At 35.6% G+C, this 18,154-nt stretch overlaps 1 protein-coding gene across 2 annotated transcripts in view, besides 1 other annotated feature; it reads left to right on the forward strand.

The window, feature by feature from the left end:
• The window catches only part of WDR36 (WD repeat domain 36), a 38,155-nt gene extending 26,308 nt beyond the window's left edge, over nt 1–11,847 (forward strand). Inside the window, exons 17-23 of one of the 2 annotated variants that reach the window (NM_139281.3) lie at nt 358–465; nt 1,841–1,938; nt 2,341–2,486; nt 5,150–5,269; nt 5,453–5,534; nt 6,953–7,140; nt 8,079–11,847. In NM_139281.3, coding sequence (NP_644810.2) covers nt 358–465; nt 1,841–1,938; nt 2,341–2,486; nt 5,150–5,269; nt 5,453–5,534; nt 6,953–7,140; nt 8,079–8,228 — 892 coding nt within the window. In that variant the 3' untranslated portion in view covers nt 8,229–11,847. Of the gene's footprint in view, nt 1–357; nt 466–1,840; nt 1,939–2,340; nt 2,487–5,149; nt 5,270–5,452; nt 5,535–6,952; nt 7,141–8,078 lie in introns of those variants that run through there. The other variant, XM_047416729.1, reaches the window with a different exon arrangement.
• Nucleotides 11,303–11,908: an enhancer, noted in NCBI's record as "OCT4-NANOG hESC enhancer chr5:110465656-110466261 (GRCh37/hg19 assembly coordinates)". NCBI's record gives its function as "activates a minimal SCP1, AML or CMV promoter by ChIP-STARR-seq in naive H9 embryonic stem cells {active_cell/tissue: H9 hESC(naive)}" and the evidence as "EXISTENCE:reporter gene assay evidence [ECO:0000049][PMID:30033119]".

Below are 18,154 nucleotides of genomic sequence, written 5' to 3' on the forward strand. Positions count from 1 at the left end.
ATTAGATTTATTTTAAATGTTATATCTTTAGAATTGTCTCCAAGTCAGTCTACCAAAATTTAGTATTCGAGAAAAACAGAAAATTTCCTCCTGTTTCCTCCCTGTTGTTGAAACTGCTTCTCCAGTTAGTCAGTCTAGTTAATGTTGTCTTTCTCATTAAGTGAGATTATTTTCACATAGTAACTTAGTTAACAAAGCTGTTTATTAGTGGTGACTTTCTGATCAATGCTGGTGATTAAAAAAAAGAAAACATTTTCTGCATCTCTTATCCCTTATCTTTTTGGCAAAAATATTTTTGTGAATTATCTCCTTTTTGGTAGAGTTCAAATACTTTTAACATGTTAATTATTTCTGTAGCCTTATAGACTGCTTTTTGTTGGACTCGGCTCCTCTCAATGTTTCTATGTCTCCTACTGGAGACTTTCTGGCAACTTCCCATGTGGACCACCTTGGAATTTATCTATGGTAAGTTCTTTCATACAGTTCTGTTTTGGGATGAAGAAGATTGTATTGTCAGAGAGTTAGAGTTGCTAAAATTGTCATTTAGGCTGTTTTTAAGTGTATTAAATGGAAATGTCACAAGTTAACACAGATACTTAATTCACTGTAAGTCTGAGTGATTCAACATCTGCTTGATAATGTAGACAGCTTTGCTGAAGTATATTCTAAACCACATGATTGATTTTTGTCTGTTACATTTGGCTTTTATTTGCAGAAAGAATGAGTGATTTTTAAAAGTTTAGGAAAAGGGAGTCCCCAGCCAGGCCATGGTTTTCCTGCCAGTATCCCACAACTACTTTACGACCTTGGCCAATCCCTTCTGAACTTCAGCCTAGTTTGTATATAAAATAAGGCACAAGTATAAGCAGAATACTTTCTGAGATTTATTCTAGTTGCATGACTTTTATAACCGTGTAAAGATACTTCAAATTCTCTTTTGATGAACCTGTAAGGGACTGTCATTGCTCATAATAAATAGAACATCACCTGGGTTTAGAAAAAATTTTGTTTCTTTCCTAACTTTATATCTGTATTGGGTAAAAGAAAAAATTGATTTTTTATAAAAGAATTAATTATAAAATGTTATAATTACATTTGAAGATACAAAGGGAATTTTAATATATAATAGAAACAGACCCTGTTCACCTTAATTTGTAAAACAGAGTATGTTTTAGAATCCATGAGGCTTCAACAGTTTAGAAAAGAATAGCTATGAGCACTCACAGCAGGAGTATGGCCCTTCTCAATGAAGTACTGCTATTAATAACTTGAAACCTGAGATTCTCAATTTTTATTTTCTATTCCAGATTCATAAGGTGTGGGAAAAAGAACCTGTCCCCTAAAAGACCGGTATCTACATCTTGATTAGTCATCCATGGCTAGGGTGCAGGCTGAGTAGCAGAAATATGGCTACTTAGAGGGCCATTCTAGAGAAGGGGAATCTATGACCTTTCAGCAGCCACAAGAATATGCTCAGCATATTCGCACTCTGACTTACTCTCTGAGTTCATCTTTCCTTTTAATTTCCTTAAATAAAGGTTGATATATGTCAAAACAATATATGAAATTTACTTTACCTTATAAAATTATTATCTACTACTGGTCTGTCTTTAATATGTTTTTGTACTACATCAGGAAAGAGACTCAATAATGTATTTACACAGCTTTGTTATGATGGCATCTATGACATAAGTCAAGGCGTTTTTAAATTGATAACAATCTATCTTTGAGGTATTTTTTAACTAATAAAAGTCTGTAGTCAAATTCAAGATTGTAGAGTGTTTCTCTGAAAGAAACTTTTTATAATTTTTAAAATATTGCTTATGTTTTGATTTTTCAGGTCCAATATTTCCCTGTATTCAGTTGTTTCATTACGGCCACTTCCTGCAGATTATGTCCCTTCAATAGTCATGCTTCCTGGTACTTGTCAAACCCAAGGTAATTAGAAAATTGCAAAGTAATTTTTGAGGTGTAATATTATAAACCTAATGTAGGAGATATTGCTACCAAAGGCAAAGTTTAGTGCATTCAATCAAAGTGTTTTTTAACTGATATAAAAGACTTTGAATGACTTCATGAATTTATGCAAAAATATAATTGATGTGGTATTGATAAGCTATCAAATAGTATACCATTGAAGAAGGTGTTTTGGGTCTAGTGATGGGAGTTTTAGTTAATATGAGAAAATAAGGAAAAGACAGGGATAAGTAAATGAAATAAATGAACAGTCTACAAGGCTGCATTAAATGAACATGTTATGAAATACAGATGGATTTGGAATGAATTAAGTTGCTTTTATATGATAAAAATCTTTTGTTTTACCTGAAAAATTTTTTTAAGATGTAGAAGTATCAGAAGAAACAGTAGAACCAAGTGATGAATTGATAGAATATGATTCGCCAGAACAGTTGAATGAGCAATTGGTGACTCTTTCACTTCTTCCTGAATCACGATGGAAAAACCTTCTTAACCTTGATGTTATTAAGGTAATAATTAACATTCTTTATAGACCCTAAGCATGCATCCAGAAGCATTTTTATTTTTTTAAGCAGAGAGAACTTCTCCTACATTGAGGGCATTAGAAGAGCAATTAATATGTAAGACAGCACTGACAATGCTATTTAATCAAATATTGTTTAATATGGTATGATTATCACAAGATATTCATATATATATCAACTTTGAGAACACTCAGCAGACATTTGGATGTGGCAAAAGTTGAGCCTGTAACTACAGAGCTACTGGAAACTGATCTTTTAAAATCCAGCCTAAGAAATCACTTTTATATAAGTTTCTAAAACGAGCGGGAACACATATGGCTATTATAACATATTTCTACTGCTAGTCATTTGAGAACCAGAGAAATTCCACTAGACTTTCATTTTATTAAGTTAACCCTTTATCTCACACCACACCCTGTCAACTACTGAAAGATTTTTAGAACTTGCTGTGTCAGGGCTAGGTACATAAGTTAACATGAGCTAGGTACTAAATAATGTACCTGGAGAGTATGGTGGTGAAGAAAAAACAGCCCCTTTGTCCTTGAGGAATTTATGATTCTGCATGAAAAATGGACAACTATGGTATAGATTAGTATTTTTTAGAGTATGTTTTATGATCCCCCACTAGTGAGTAGCAAAAACTACTGAAAGGAATACAATACAGTGAAAAATTTCAGGTTACCTTTTGATCATGAATGCAAGTATTGTTTGGTGAAACTTGAGTTGGTTAGACATACACATACACTAGATCTGCTGGATGTACTTAAGTCACAGTATGGGCTGTGGTAAAAAGTTTAAGAAACACTGACTAAGTAACTAATAATTATCCTTGTAACTAATAACACAAGAAAAGAAGTGTGTGTCTTGGGTAAGGAAAGAGAAGTTTTCACATTACATTTCCTCACAGAAGTTAAAATTGCTTCTTTTTACTTGCTAACTTTTTGAGAGATTAGTCATCAGCATAAAGGTGTGCTGTCTAGGAGCATGGTGTGGAATCTCTTCATCATGCTGTCCACACATCAGCTTTAAAGGGAGTACTTTATGAAATAGTTCAAATGCAAGGCATTAATAAGTACAAATAGATTAGTGTGAGGGGAGCAATCAGAATAATGCTTAACTAATTGAGCAGAGTTTTGGGGCTACTGTGGTCCTCACTAAGATATAGTTTATACTGCATAAAATCTTATATCAAAACATAAGTGGATTATCTTTATGATAGGAATATGCTAAAACCTCTAATATTTTTATTTTCTGCTGAATAAAAGAGAATGTACCAAGACTATAGTTTACATTTGTCCTGTGGATAACTTCTATTTTTGCTTTTCTTTATAAGACTAGATAATTTCCAGGGCACTGTGGAGTTCCTCCAAAGCCTTATGGTTTTAACAAATCAGTGACCATCCCCTTTCTAACTCAAGAATGGTGAGTTAGAATGGTAACTGTGACTCATAACAGTCTCCACCATCCTAAAGGGCTCTGCTTACACTACAGTTTGCGGTGCTTTGTCCTGTGTTCATGTGATCATTTTATTTTATACCATGGCTTCCCTTTGGAATAGAATGTCTCCCTAGGGCGGCATAGCTCCTAAAGAATGGAAGAATAATGTGAGGTGAAATTGTGAGACTTCTTTATTAGGCACTTTACCATAGAAACGCTCTTCCATCAAATGTTCCTGAGAGGTGGGGCACGGTGGCGCACGCCTGTCCCACTTTGGGAGGCTGAAATGGTTGATCATTTGAGGTCAGGAGTTCGAGACCAGCCTGGTCAACATGGTGAAACCCCATCTCTACTATAAATACAAAAATGAGCCAGGCATGTTGTACGTGCCTGTAATCCCGGCTGCTCAGGAGGCTGAGGCAGGAGAATTGCTTGAACCCGGGAGGCGGAGGTTGCAGTGAGCTGAGATCGCACCACTTCACTCCAGCCTAGGCAATGGAGTGAAATTCCATCTCAAAAAAAAAAATGTTCCTGAGATACTGATATGTAGCAGTGTACTTACCAAAACAAAATTCTTTCAATGGAAATTTCAGTAGAGTTTTTGCTAATATAATTTTACTAGCATTTGAAATACTTATAAACCAGCAATCATGTTTTCTTGAATTTTAAAAGCACAAGGTACTAAAGAAAAAATTCCAGCAAAATAGAAAAATTAGAGCTGTACTTTGAAAGGAAATTATCAAATTACTTATAATGTCAGTCTGCTTCTGGCTCCAAAGTTCCTTTGGAGAAAAGTAATTTAAGAAACTCTTTTGTATTAAGCATTTATGTAAATTTTGCTTTCCATCCTGTTTTGTGAAAGAGTTTGTACTCAATACAAAAGGAAGTTTAAAATTACTTAATTGTTATATCTTCATGTAAATATATTCATATTTCAGGAAAATGAGCTGTGTTTGTCTTAGAACTTCCCCTGTGCCCTGTCACTTTTTTTCTGCCTTATCGGCAAGGGTGCTAGAGATCTGCATTGGGAAGCCCAAGTTAAGGATAGCTGTGGTATTGGTCAGAAGAGATCATATTTTAACATTCTTATGTGAAAGAGTTTCATTCCTCTTTTACTTTTTGGTATTTGTTTTAAAATTGATTTGAAATTAAATATGAGAAACTGTTGGCAAGATAATTCCTATTTTTCTTTCTCATTTTCTCTTAATCAGAAAAAGAATAAACCAAAGGAACCACCCAAAGTACCCAAATCAGCACCATTTTTCATTCCAACAATTCCTGGCCTTGTACCCAGATATGCTGCACCTGAACAAAATAATGATCCCCAGCAGGTAAAAAACAAATTAGAAGATTCTAAGTATATCGGTGTATGTTTGTATGTGTTTTCTGCACTTCTTTACCAAGACCTAGTTTTACAGATATAGGGTAAATTAATGATAGCTTTTAATTACAAACTATACATTTTTGGGTGATACTTGAATTATTTGAATAATGTGTATTTGTTTTTGTTTAAGTCTAAAGTGGTAAATCTTGGAGTTTTGGCTCAAAAATCAGATTTCTGCTTGAAACTTGAAGAAGGACTGGTAAATAATAAGTGTAAGTTGAATTATAAGATATTTTAACTAATATATTTAGCTTATTTTACTGTATATGAGGAGAAATTGAAGGAAATATCAGCGTTCTCAGTAGTTAAGATAGTAAAAATCAAAAAGATTGAAATTTTGGTTTTAATTTGACGTAATTTTAGCATTTATATTAAATAAGCCCACTAAACTCAAATGGTATTGATATTATAAAAATCTGTTGAAGATTTTTCATATATCTAACTTACTTTTTGCTATTGGAGATGGACACAGTTATTGACTATATTTATAATAAGGAGATCCTTCTTGTTGTGAATTAAATGTAAAAGTTTTGTTTGTCGTTTTTGTAGCAAGTAATTTGCAAGTCTTTTGTTTTTATTTATAATTTGTAATTCAGCGGACTGCTTAGGTGATTTCATATATTCCTAAATTATTTTATTAAAAAGGAAATGTTTTAATCTGTCTGTTGTGTTCATATATTTAAATTTCGAAGGCTACAGTCTGTAGCTAATAGTGATTAGCCATAAGAACTGTAATCATTTAAAAAACTGTAGTCACTCTCCTAATAATTTTAACTTGTCCTCTTGTTTTGATTCAAATGCTTTTGTTTTCATACCGAGATTACTTGAGTCCACATTAGCAAAAGTCAGAGAATGATACTGATGAGCCCTTGTAAATGACTTGTTATGTTTATGGGGAGACAAAGAAATAAAAACACTATTGTTTACTATATACTGAAGGATCTAAAAGTGATTAGACTTTTGTCATTGGTGATACTCTTTTTCAGAAAGCTAAAGCATAGTCATTGCAGTTCTCAAATGACTCATAAAAATAGCTGTAAGTGTACTGAGTGTGTTTTCCTAGGGTGCATATGAAACAATTCTTCTAGGGAAAAGAAGTAGGTTTGGGCTGGGTAAGAATAAGGGATGGGGTCTTCCCCCTCTGATTTTATATATTCTGTACTGTTAGTAATATAGTTCCTAATGATTATGTACTTTTATAACTTTATAACAATAGAAAAGAAAAATTATTTTACCTCATCAGATTCCCAATGCTAACCACTATTAATACTTTTGTATGTATCGTTATAGGCTTCTTAATTAGGATTTACTCTGAGAGAAGATATATGAGCATTTTAAAATTCTAACGTGCCTGTTGCAAGGCATTAGATTTTCTTTATTAACAGGAAAAAGGTTTAAATTACAGAAAAAAAATGTGTTTTGAGTACTTTCTCTTATATTGGTGTCATCGTTTGTACTGATTTTCAATTATTTTGGGTTTCATTCTACTACATAATATGAAAAAATTAACCCACAGGAAGAATTTCCTGTACCATTTAAATATATCCTATTTGGGGTATAAAAGGAAAACTGTAATTTTCTAAGTTAAATGATTATAATCAAGTCATAACTGGATTAAAATTTAATGCAGATGACACTGCTCTCAACCTTCTGAAAGAATCAGGCCCATCAGGAATTGAAACAGAGCTGCGAAGCTTGTCTCCTGATTGTGGTGGGTCCATAGAAGTTATGCAGAGCTTCTTGAAAATGATTGGGATGATGCTGGACAGAAAGCGTGATTTTGAGTTAGCCCAGGCATACCTTGCATTGTTTCTAAAGGTAAGTCTAATGTAAGACAGTACTGCCCAGCTTGTCTTCTTCTGGGGCAGTGCTATCTAACAGAACTTTCTGCAAAGATGGGTATGCTGTATATCCATCCTTTCCAGTATCATAGCCACTTGCCACATGTAGCTATTGAGTTCTTGAAATGTAAATAGTGTGATCAAGAAACTGGATTTTTAATTTTATAGAATTTTAATTAATTTAAATTTAAATAACCGCATGTGGCTAGTGACTACCACATTGGACAGCTAGACAGTGCAGCTTGGGAGTCTTGTTTTGTTTTTTTACTCAACTGCACAATAATTTTGACTTTACCCCCTGACATTTTTATGCTATCTGCTTGATCCAATGTGCTGAACCATTAACTTTTCTTTTTTTAGTGGTTAGTTACATTTTGGAAGTTTTTTGTGATTATGAATAGAAAGTTGGGTTTGTTTGTTTTTTTTTCTACTACTGAAATCAAAATGTTCACTTCTATCATTATTAAAGGAGTTTTGATCATTTGACAATAAGACTGTTACTTTTATGATTAATATAGTGGTGAACTCATGTTTTGAGGGTCTACTTTAGTGGTATAATGTGTTGAAGGAGGTAGATGATGCCGATTTTTGGTGATAATAGATTTGATTCTTTATCCCATTTATACCTAAAATGAGTTCACTTGATCTGATTATTTAAAAGTATCAGGACTGTCCTTAGGTGGAGAGGAGTGATGACCACTTTAATTCTACCAAGGAAGTCACAGTATCATAAAGGACCTTATAATAAAAAAAGTTTGATAGAGGAGGGGAAAATGGGAGATAGTAATAAACCAGCGCTTAAGAAAACAAATATTCACCTAGTGTCTTTTGTGGTTCCTTGGTAGAAAAATTGAATCCAGATTAGGTAAAATTTTAATTTTCTTAAATGTTCAATCATCATATTTTTCTTTGCAGTTACACCTTAAAATGCTTCCTTCAGAGCCAGTACTCCTAGAAGAAATAACAAATTTGTCATCCCAGGTGGAAGAAAACTGGACCCATTTGCAATCACTCTTCAATCAAAGCATGTGTATTTTAAATTATCTCAAAAGTGCTTTGTTGTAAAAATAAATTTGTGACTAAACAAAGACTTTCATATTAAATGGGTTCAATTGAACTCATTTCTTATTTTCCAAGTGTCAATGTGAAAAGAAAATAAATGCTAGCACTACTGACTAGTCAGTATATCTCCACTTTAAATGCTAAATACTTTCTTGAAATAAAATCGCACCTCCCGGCCAGGCATGATGGATAATGCCTGTAATTCCAGCACTTTCAGAGGCCAAAGCGGGAGGATTGCTTGAAGCCAGGAATTTGAGCCCAGCCTGGGCAACATAGCAAGCAAGATCCCATCTCTACAAAAAGTTAAAAAAATAAATTACACCTGCCTTTTGTTTTGAAGACTTAAAGAATCTGCTCAAATGATTTATTTTCTGAGTCTCTTCACATTAACTTTTATATGATTTTTAAAAAATTATTACCTGCTTATATTTTTTGAGTATCTGTTTCATATAAAGAGATGCTGCATGTTCACTGTGAAGTATTGCTGAATTAAATTGAAAATGTCAGATAAAACTGATACATGATGTAGTTATAAAAATGCTGTTATGAAGAAAAAAGGAATGCTTTTTTCCTCGGTGGCCTTTGATAAAAATATGAATGATTGACTCTCAGAGTTGGAGGATAAACTAATCATCTTCTAGCACAGCCCTGTTGTGTTGCAGGAGAGGAATCAGGCTAAAGTCTGCTGGTATTTCAGTGACAGATTAAAACTTTCTAACAGTGGCCTAGTGCTTTCTCCATTGTAATGTACTGAAAGGAAGTTGTTCATGGATCAGAAATGTGGGAGGCCCTTCCTTGCCCAAGGCAAGTCGCTGTAGATGGTTAAACTGATACCAAGGATAGGTAAGGGAAATTCCAAATTCCATTGGAAGATGGCCTTTTACTGACACTGCAGACATGTAGATAACAATAGTTTAATGTCCTCTGAAAAGGTAAAAATTCCATAAATCCTTGCAAACAATTTTTAGCAATATTGTTTATTGCTACCACAGCCAAGAATGGGTATTTCAAAGCCAGGGTTTTTTTTATTTTGTTTTGTTTTGTTTTTTTTTTTTTTTTTTTGGCTACACTTTTTTGGGGGGGACCTTTTAATTTGGGAAGAAAATGCTGAGTATACTTTTCTTTCACAACCATTGCAAACCCAGGTAGCCCTGGAGTTTTCTTTTTTTCTCATCATCATTGTTTTGTTTTTTTTATGGTTCAAGACTTTTGCAATACATGAATTAAAAATAAGCAGTTCTTTAAAGCATAGCGCTCTAAAAACTATTCTTAGTTTATACCCTCAAAAGTTGGGTCTTTCATGAAACACAGTGGTTTGAATATGAACACCAGTAGCATTCTCGTTCGTTGTTAGGGTAAGAGAGTTTTGTAGAATGATCTCCAAAAGAAGCAGTCCTCAAAAGGCATTTACCAGTGATATCTTTTAATATTCATGTTTTTATTTAATGATGTAAGATAGAATTAATAAACTACTAAGGAAATAAGCCAATGTGGTTATTGTACTCAATTTCGTTTTTCTTTTAGAAATGTGTATTGACTTATTAAAGCCACTGACAGAAATGTTAATCATGACTTAAGTTCTAATTTAAAAAACTATTTTCCTCTTTCCTAAATACTATATTCTAAATTGGAATATGGCAAAATCCCAATATATAATTCTATACCTAGTAAAGATTGTAAATAACTAAAACAAAATGATAAGAGCTGTGAACTGAAATTGTATTGCTTACAGAAATCATGAACCGAATTTTCTTCTCTTTTTAAAGTGAGCATAAAGACTTAAGTGTATTGTTACCAGAGATATATTTAGATAGAATACATCATTTTGGCAGGTAATCTTCTAGAACCTTTCATGTACTGTTTCCATCAAGGGAGGGAAAGAAATAGAAAATATAATTTTATCTATATTTTCCTTAAAATATATCAATCTGTGCACACTCTTTCAGTTTTTTAATTACTCATGTAATATATGACTACATTTTGCTTGTGTGCTTTTTGAAAACCATCTTCAGTCCCAATATCCTCTGTAGAAGTAATAGTTTTAACTCTCCTAGATCTTCTTTTAGAGTGTTTTTATGAGTGTTTAATGTAGGAATGTGTATATATTATCTACAGCCACAGGAAATGTATAGTTACGATTTTTACATACGTGTATGTATATTATTGTACAACTTGCTATTTCTACTTGGGAGTTTTTTATTTTGGTACATTCACATTTACCTAATCTCTTGTGCACTGTCCAACAGTACTTTGCCTATAATAGACACTTAAGGAAGTTTTCCTTCTTTTTATTCCTTTATAATTACAAACAATGCTGAAAGGAACATCATCCTACATGAGCCCTTTTTGTACATATAAGGCTCTCTCTGTGGTATATGCTTAGGATTTGAATTTCAGGCCAGAGTATAACCATTTTTAATTTGAAGAGATACTTCCATTTGGGTTCCAGAATGGCTGTATCAAGTTACAGTTCCCCTGAGCAAGATATGAGCATCTGCTTCCCCATGTAATTAATGACACTTGCTATTGGATTTTTGTAATTTAATTACTCTGAAAAAATTATTTTGGTTTTAAATCAGAAATTTCTCACTAGTGAAGATGGACATATTTTTGTATGTTTATTTTAGAACATATAAACATTTGTTAATTTTCTTTTTCCTCTCATTTTTCTATTGAATGATTTGTCCTTTTATCTCATGGATTTGTTAGGAGTTCTCTTGTATTTTCTGTATTTTATGTCTGTTGCCAATGTTTTCTCCTACTTAGCCATTTGGCTTTAATTTTACATGGTGTCTGTTTAAATAAATGTTTTATATTTGTATACAATCAAATTGATTAATTTTCATGACTTATTTCAGGATATAAAGCAAATTATTTTCTAAGACATTTACAGTGTATGTTTTCCTATGTTTACATGTGCTCATTTCACGTCATGTATTTTCCTCTACGACATGTTTCTGTGTGAGTAGTTAACATGTAGATCTTTAGAATTGATTTTTCTGAAGAGTGAAACAGCGCTGCTTCCAATATCTGTTCAAAATTCATTTATTGAAAAGTCCACTCATATGTCTGATTTGAAATGCTGTTTCATTATGTGTTAAATTCTTTCACTGAGCTCTTCCATATTCCTAGTAAATGATGCATTACTTTGGTATGTTCTCAGATTTGGGTAAAGCCTTCCTCATGTTCTATAAAAATTGGTTAACTGCTGGTGAGCACATCTCTTGAAGTTTTGATATGGGTTGCACAACATTTATAGGACTGATTTGGAGAGACCGACAATACCGAGTGCAGTCCTCCCTTGGTATCTAGTTCCAGGACCCCTGTGGATACCAAAATCCAAGCAATGCCCTGCAGATCATGGGACCTATGCATATGAAAAGTCGGTCCTTGTATTTGAGGGTTTTGCATCCCTCAAATACCATATGTTTTATTTGTGTTTGGTTGAAAAAAGTTTGCATATAAGTGAAACTTAGCATTTCAAACCTGTGTTGTTCAAAGATCATTTGTATTTCTCTTCAAGAACAATGAATGTCTTCATTAAATCATCTTTTGTGGGAGAGCTTTTGGTTTCATAGATTTTCATATATATATATGATATAATAAACACTTTTTGACATTCTGGGAGTTTTACTTTTGTTACTATAAGGAAATATCCTTTTCTAATGCATGTTATAATTGGTTGTTTCTGTTTGTGGTAAAATGACTTAATTTTTATATTCCAATCCGTCATGACACTGCAGAACCCTTTGTCAATACAGTCTTACTAGAAAATCCAAGAGAATTCTATCTTCTGCAATTGATGAGACTGTATTTCCTATGCAGTATTTGTGTACTTTGAAGTTTTTGTGCATTAGAAAGTTTTATACTTTAAATACATGCCCTTTTTAAAGATAAAAGCACTGAGAATAGAAAATACATAGACTTAAATATATATTTTGTATTGCGTGAAAATAAATATGATTTAAAAGCTGTTGTAACCCCCAAAACATTTTAAGCCTTGAGAGTGATGTGACTGTGATCTGAGTCACATATGGCTACTTCTTTTTCTTAGATTATAGCCCATCAACTCACTTTCTTATTTTGTTTGTTCTGTACAATGACTAGAGATACTTAAATGATGTCAAAGACAAAAACCTCTTGCCTTCTTAATGACCTTGTTATAAATTTCCCCTTTATTATCCTGCCTCGCTTGGACCAGATGACAGAAAACCCACGAGTATTTCACCCTCTATAAAAAAATGTTAAATGTACCCTTCCCAAAAAGAAATACCTATAACCAATTCCTGTAACTATTTTCCAACCTTGTATGAATAATGTTGTAATCCTGCTAAAGGAAACTCCTCTGTCTCTGCCTACATAAATGAAACCTTAACTTCTCTACTTTAGAATACTGACTCTGTATCTTTGGAGTTGATGTTTCCGGGTGGGCTATCCTCAAATTTTGCACTTGTATAAGCTCTTTAAATTAGATTCATACCCTTTTGATTATTTTAGGTTGACGTAAAGAGCTTGTTAAACAAAAAATTGGGGAAGGCCATGGTTTTGCACTGAACTTCTGCACTGGGTCCCAGCAGACCAGAACAAACTAATGGAGCTGCTCATACTAAATGCCACATAATCAAACTGAAACTTCAAGGAAGCAGATAAATTCCAAAGCAGACCATTGTTTCCTTTGAAAACAGATTTCAGTCTACCTGAGTCAGCACAATAAGGAAGTCCCCTCTACTTTAATCCTTACAAAAAAGTAACCCGATGTTAACCTTTTTTCTCTATTTTTCTGTTTCCCACCTTAAAAAACCCCTTGTTCTGCTATTGTCCAGTGGGATTTCTCATTCTACTTTATAGAATGAAGGGCTTCCCTGATGAATGGTGGATAAAAGGCAATTAAATTTATAACTAAATATGTTGTAATTTTGTCTTCTGACAAGCTAAATTAGCATTATATAGTCCAATCAAAGTGCCCAGAGAGAGCCAGGTCACTGAAACAAGATTTTACTAATGTCTCTGCCTGCAAGGCCAATGTTAATATTTTTTAAATTATACTTTCTAACATTATTTAGGACTCTTGACTGCAAATTACAGAAATGTTATGTTTAAACAGGAATGGAAATTTAAGAATTCAGGAATACTGGATTATCTAATAATATCTTTGTTTTCCGGAATTTTTTTGTGATCTGTGACACTGAGAAATTCAAGAAATACTCTTTGAATTCTGCTTTTCTTTGCAGAGTGCTGCATTCCTTTGATTGTGTATTTCTTCTGCAACTAGTGCCTGCCAAAGGCAGTCAACAATCCACTTGATGTGCAGCCTCTTCCTAAAGTCCAAGATTGCACACTGGAGACTAAAAACCCTCCCTTCTGGGTCCTAAGTCTTCCCCCTCACTTATGACACTTCCCTTTCTTCCTCTGAAGGAAGAGGAATCCTTCTGTTTTCTTTTTGTAATCTTTTCACCATCCTCCAGGGACAAAAAAGCTTCGCCCCACCCCCACACACCCCCACCTTCCTGTCTTCATGTTTCTTATAACTCTGTTATGCTAAAGGGAAGATTACATTTTCAGAGGATGGAAAGCTATCATCTCACTGAAAAATCCCATTTTTGAATGGTAGATTATGAGTATTCGCATAGTATTTCACCTTACAGCCCTGCAAAACAAAATGGTAGTCCCCTTCTAATATGACAGTTGCGTCAAATCTCAGAAAAGGTGATACGTTTGGAAAGGCAAAGGAAGAAGACCACATCACCCTTTAAAGAATTATTCTTACACATTTTTGGTCATTATTAGCCTTATTTAAGCTCTGCAGACTCTCTTGTTTTCTGCTGTTAATAGTTTGAGATCCTGAAAGTCTCAAGCCAAAATTGTTTCCAAGAGTAATCTCACTGATTCAGATATAAATTTAATACAATATAAGGCATATACCTTGCAGTCCTTCCCCCATTAAGGCTAAGCCATGGGACTTATTGCAAGGGAAAGGGAGCAGTGATATTAGAGAAGGTCACAGTATAGGTCAGTAGTTCTCAAAGTGTGTTTCCCCAATTAGCAATATCAACATCACCTGGGAACTTAGAACTGCAGGCCCCACTGCATAACTACTGAAATAAAAACTCTGTGGGTAGGGGCCAGCAATATGTATTTTAACAAATCTCCGTTTTGGTGACTTAATATAACTGAACTTAGAACTGGAGAAGGGAAAAAAGAAGGCTATGAGGCATAAGGTTCTCACCTATGTTCCCACTTGGTTCTAGGAAGAAACCTGAAGGAAGGAAAGTGAGCAAAAGGGTTAAAGATTTTGTAGGCCCTGGCCCCAGATCTAGAAGTAAAAGGGGAAGTGGGGATGGAGGGTTAGTTGGAGAAATCACTGGGTACATTAAGTGGAACTCCAGAGTTGTGGGGCTAGGTCCTGACTCCCCTGGAGGAGACTGGCTCACAAGCCCTCTATCCTGACACATGGTGGCCATAGTCAAGGGGTGTGACTTAACTTAGGTGGCAAGAAATGACTGTGACAGCTCACAGAGTTTCCATGACTGTGGGTGACACTGGGAGGGATCTGGAGGTTTCCACCTGCTCCCTGAGGGGAATGAGGGAGGCAGCTGGGAGTAGAATGCCAACAGGCCTGCCATAGAGCCCCAGTGGCAGAGTGTGGACACACCATCCTGGCCCAGGGCCCAGCTGGAAGATAGGCAGAGACTCAGGGCACAGGCTAAGTGGGACTGTGGTCCTGGTCGGGGGAGGTGAGAAGAGGGTCTGGCAACACAGAAGGCACTCACACATAGTGAACCTTCCTTTGTGAGGAAAGAAACAGACATGGTAGGGAATTTGAACATAAAATCTCACAAAATATTTATCCAAAAGAGACTAGGCTAATGTGAAAGAGACTGAGATACTTTTTAATTGGTAATTTTGTTCCCTACCCTAAATCTAGTAATATGAGGGCTCAAGATGAAATTTAATCATTTTGATATATAAAATATTCTTTAGGGATCTTTCTTTCAGTATCTGTGTACTATATGCTGAATTTCCCAATTCCAACCATGCTAATTTCCATTTCCAGCTGAATCTACTAAATGTCTCTGAAAAGGTACGTAAAATATTCAATACTTAGTTTTATCTCTGTGTTGTTAGTGATTTATTGACACTGCAGACATGTAGATAACAATAGTTTAATGTCCTCTGAAAACACAAAAATTCCATAAATCCTTGCAAACAATTTTTAGCAATATTGTTTATTGCTACCACAGCCAAGAATGGATATTTCAAAGCCGGGGGTTTTGTTCTGTTTTGTTTTGTTTTGTTTGGCTGCCCTTTTTTTCCCCCACTATCTCTGGCTAAATTCCAGTCTTTACTATTAATTTATTTTTTCTCATTTGAACTTTCCAAGTATGATGTCTGCCTCATAACTCTGGCCCTGTTTCCTCACTCCTGGCCACACTCTATTCTCTAGAGTAAATATGATGCAAGCCCATTGGGTGACTGAATGGTGGGTGAGAGTGAGTTATCGAAGCCTGGACTCACTTAACCATGTGGATTTAGTTTACAAGAAGCATCATATACCAAACAAAGGAGTCACATACCCGACAGCCTCCCCACCCAGCTCACAGCGCTGTGATCACTCCTCTTTCCTTCCTTCAATCATTGATTTATTCATTCTATCTTCAACAAATACTTAGCTCTGACCCTGTCTCAGATGCTGTTCTATGCTCTTGAGATACTTTAGAAAACAAAACATATAAAAATCCCGGTCCTATGAAGCTTGTATTTTAGCTCATTATTCTTTTATATTCTTTTGCTTAGCCTTTTGACTTGCTCTCTTTTAGAATCAAGATAAAGAAGAAGATGTTTCTAGGCCTTCACACTCTGCAAAGAGTGACTGCCAGGAGTTTCTCCCTTTATTTCAAAATGTGGCATACGTGGGTGTGTGTGTGTGTGTGCACGCACACGTGTGTGCACGTGTTTGTGTGTGTGTACAGGAATTCCCAAATAGCCTCCATATGAAAAAAAAAATGCCTGCATGCTGCTTCACTACCATTCTTGTTTTAACAAAGGGCTTGGTAACTTAGAAAAGCAGTGCATATGAAGAAGTAAAACAATTAAGGAGGAAAAAAAACTGGTTTTTTTTTTCCCTTGGAAGACTCCACCTCTCCATTCTCTGGCTGATAATAGATGGCCAGGCATAGGGAAGCAGAGACTAGGAATTAGCCTTGTAGTTTGTCAGACGTGGCTCCTGGAGCTGAGGGCCACCCCCCAGGGGCCTGGGTGCAGTTTTAGCTCTTGGCACACTGCGTGGAAAGGTGGAGGCAGGGGGCAGAGATGAGATGTTCATCTCTGTTGCTGTGGTGACAAGGAGGTGAAGTGAAGGTACTTCAAAAATGTAAGCTACAACACGTGAGGAAAAAGGTGCCTGTGGAACTGTGTGCTTCTCTCAACCTGTCCCATTCCCTCCTAAATAATCGTGTATGGGGTATGGCAAGATGGAGATCCCAACACACATGAGACAGGGTGCCTGACCCCCAGTCCAGGAGATGAGCCTTGCAGGAGGAAAGGCAGCACACATCTGCCTTCTCGGAGCCAGGGCAGGCTGCACAAAGAGGACAACTGCCATTGATCTTGAACAAAGGGGGTGGGAGGGGCATGGTATTACAGAGAGAGACAGGACAGCATTCAGAGATGAGGCCATGAGAAAGGCAATAGAAAGTCAGGGATGGCCAAAGTCATGCCAGCTGCTACCTCTGGGAATGTGTAGAGGTCAGTGGCCCTGGAACTGGGTACAAAGGAGACTTTATCTGCAATGTTTTGTGTAATTTTAAATTAAACAAAATAAGATAAAACATCAACTACTATTGATTCTAGGTGTTGATGTCTATATATTTTCATACTCTATATTTAGTTTAGTTTTTTTTAATTGTATTTCAATCTTTTTTTTTGTCTAGCTTTTCAAATAGAATGTATTTACACATCTCTAACCATTCATCCATCCATCCATTCATGCTACTTCGTAGATATATCTTGTGTGGCTGACCAGATCTTATTTCCTCTGGAAGGTGGCCTTTGGAAGCTGCAATTGTGTTTGCCACCCAAGTCACTGGACCTTTCCCAAAATTCCAGGCCACCACTTGACCTAACCACATTCATTTCGATGCAAGTCCCTGGCATTGGGTCTTTATGAGGCGCAGATGGTCTCCAGGTCAGCACTGAGCCCTGTCTCTTTCTCTCTGTGCCCAGCTGGCATGAATTGGAAGGCAGAGGAACCGAGGGAGTTCTGAGTCACCTAGCTTGACTGAGTCAGAGATTTCTCCAGGGAGTGGTGGAAAGGGTGGCTCTTGGCAGAAGAGATCCTCATCTCAATGGTGTGGTACTTGCCTGAGATTTCCCAGAAAGCACGAAGAACATCAGGGTGGAGAGTTTCACTCTCAGCGACAAATAGAAATAATCCACTTGATTCCACATGAACTAAGTGTTGAAGAAAAACATAATCTCACATTAGCTTATCTCTTTACCCTTTACCAGAACTCAAAGATGGAAATTACCATTCTCATCCTGCTGGGAAATGACAATCATGCAGCAAATACACCATACTTTGTGTCACTTGAAACCAGTTTTATCTATTAAAAAAATACTAATCCTTAAAATATTATTCCTTTATGAAACACAAGGCCTTTTTTTTTCATAGCCTTTGTTGCAGCAAAACTCCTCAATAAATAGCACTGCCCAGAGACAGTTAGGGTAAACTTAGATCATGCAGGAAAGTGTCTGTCACTGTTTGCCTGCATCTCTAATGCCCTTGATGGGTTGGTTTCCTCCTTTTGTGCCAGTGTGGAAGTCTCATTCCCATTGTCTGCCATCAGCTAAATGTCCAAATTTGCTATAGAGCCCATCTCAATTTTGTGCACACAAGTGTTCCATAAATACCTAATTTAGTGGTTTTCTAA

The sequence above is a fragment of the Homo sapiens genome, chromosome 5, assembly GCF_000001405.40.
Source record: "Homo sapiens chromosome 5, GRCh38.p14 Primary Assembly".
Taxonomy (NCBI): domain Eukaryota; kingdom Metazoa; phylum Chordata; class Mammalia; order Primates; family Hominidae; genus Homo; species Homo sapiens.